The 1653-nt window shown below is 49.1% G+C and overlaps 1 annotated feature.

Annotated features, from left to right (window-relative positions):
* Positions 774-1388: an enhancer, noted in NCBI's record as "NANOG-H3K27ac-H3K4me1 hESC enhancer chr18:25820685-25821299 (GRCh37/hg19 assembly coordinates)". NCBI's record gives its function as "activates a minimal SCP1, AML or CMV promoter by ChIP-STARR-seq in naive H9 embryonic stem cells {active_cell/tissue: H9 hESC(naive)}" and the evidence as "EXISTENCE:reporter gene assay evidence [ECO:0000049][PMID:30033119]".

Below are 1653 nucleotides of genomic sequence, written 5' to 3' on the forward strand. Positions count from 1 at the left end.
TTTAGTAGAGACAGGGTTTCACAATGTTGGCCAGGCTGGTCTCGACCACCTGACCTTGTGATCGGCCCGCCTCGGACTCCCAAAGTGCTGGGATTACAGGCGTGAGCCACCGTGCCCGGCCATCAGTTCTTCTTAAATGTGTCTTACGAAACACTAAGATACTAAGAAATGTTTACAGATATTCTGAGAAAAAAAACCACCAACCTCAAATTAGTTGGAAAAACCCTAGGTTAATCGAAGTTAAATAGATTTTTTTACTATAGAAATTCTCAGTCTTCACTAAGGTAAATGCATTATAAACACACACACACACACACACGCACGCACACACGCACACACACACACACAGCATTTATATGGTTGTGAGATGTTTCCTCTTTTTATTTTTTATATCTACTGACATCGGCATTTCTCAAGACACACAAACAAATAGATTTGTTTAAAATCTCATTTAAAGGAAGACTTGTGAAATATCGAGTAAAGAAGTGTTAGCCTAGAGGAGGAGCCAAGATGGCCGAATAGGAACTGCTCAGGTCTACAGCTCCCAGCGTGAGCGACGCAGAAGACGGGTGATTTCTGCATTTCCATCTGAGGTACCGGGTTCATCTCACTAGGGAGTGCCAGACAGTGGGCGCAGGACAGGGGGTGCGCGCACCGTGCGCGAGCCGAAGCAGGGCGAGGCATTGCCTCACTCCGGAAGCGCAAGGGATCAGGGAGTTCCCTTTCCTAGTCAAAGAAAGGGGTGACAGACGGCACCTGGAAAATCGGGTCACTCCCACCCGAATACTGCGCTTTTCCGACGGGCTTAAAAAACAGTGCACCAGATTATATGCCGCACCTGGCTCGGAGGGTCCTAAGCTCACGAAGTCTCGCTGATTGCTAGCACAGCAGTCTGAGATCAACCTGCAAGGCAGCAGCGAGGGTGGGGGAGGGGCGCCCGCCATTGCCCAGGCTTGAGTAGGTAAACAAAGCAGCCAGGAAGCTCGAACTGGGTGGAGCCCACCACAGCTCAAGGAGGCCTGCCTGCCTCTTTAGGCTCCACCTCTGGGGGCAGAGCACAGACAAACAAAAAGACAGCAGTAACCTCTGCAGACTTAAATGTCCCTGTCTGACAGCTTTGAAGAGAGCAGTGGTTCTCCCAGCACGCAGGTGGAGATCTGAGAACGGGCAGACTGCCTCCTCAAGTGGGTCCCTGACCCCTGACCCCCGAGCAGCCTAACTGGGAGGCACCCCCCATCAGGGGCACACTGACACATCACACGGCGCACTACTCCAACAGACCTGCAGCTGAGGGTCCTGTCTGTTAGAAGGAAAACTAACAAACAGAAAGGACATCCACACCAAAAACCCATCTGTACATCACCATCATCAAAGACCAAAAGTAGATAAAACCACAAAGATGGGGAAAAAACAGAGCAGAAAAACTGGAAACTCTAAAAAGCAGAGCACCTCTCCTCCTCCAAAGGAACGCAGTTCCTCACCAGCAACGGAACAAAGCTGGATGGAGAATGACTTTGATGAGCTGAGAGACGAAGGCTTCAGATGATCAAATTACTCCGAGCTACGGGAGGACATTCAAACCAAAGGCAAAGAAGTTGAAAACTTTGAAAAAAATTTAGAAGAATGTATAACTAGAATAACCAATACAGAGAA

This window comes from Homo sapiens, chromosome 18 (genome assembly GCF_000001405.40).
Source record: "Homo sapiens chromosome 18, GRCh38.p14 Primary Assembly".
NCBI lineage: Eukaryota > Metazoa > Chordata > Mammalia > Primates > Hominidae > Homo > Homo sapiens.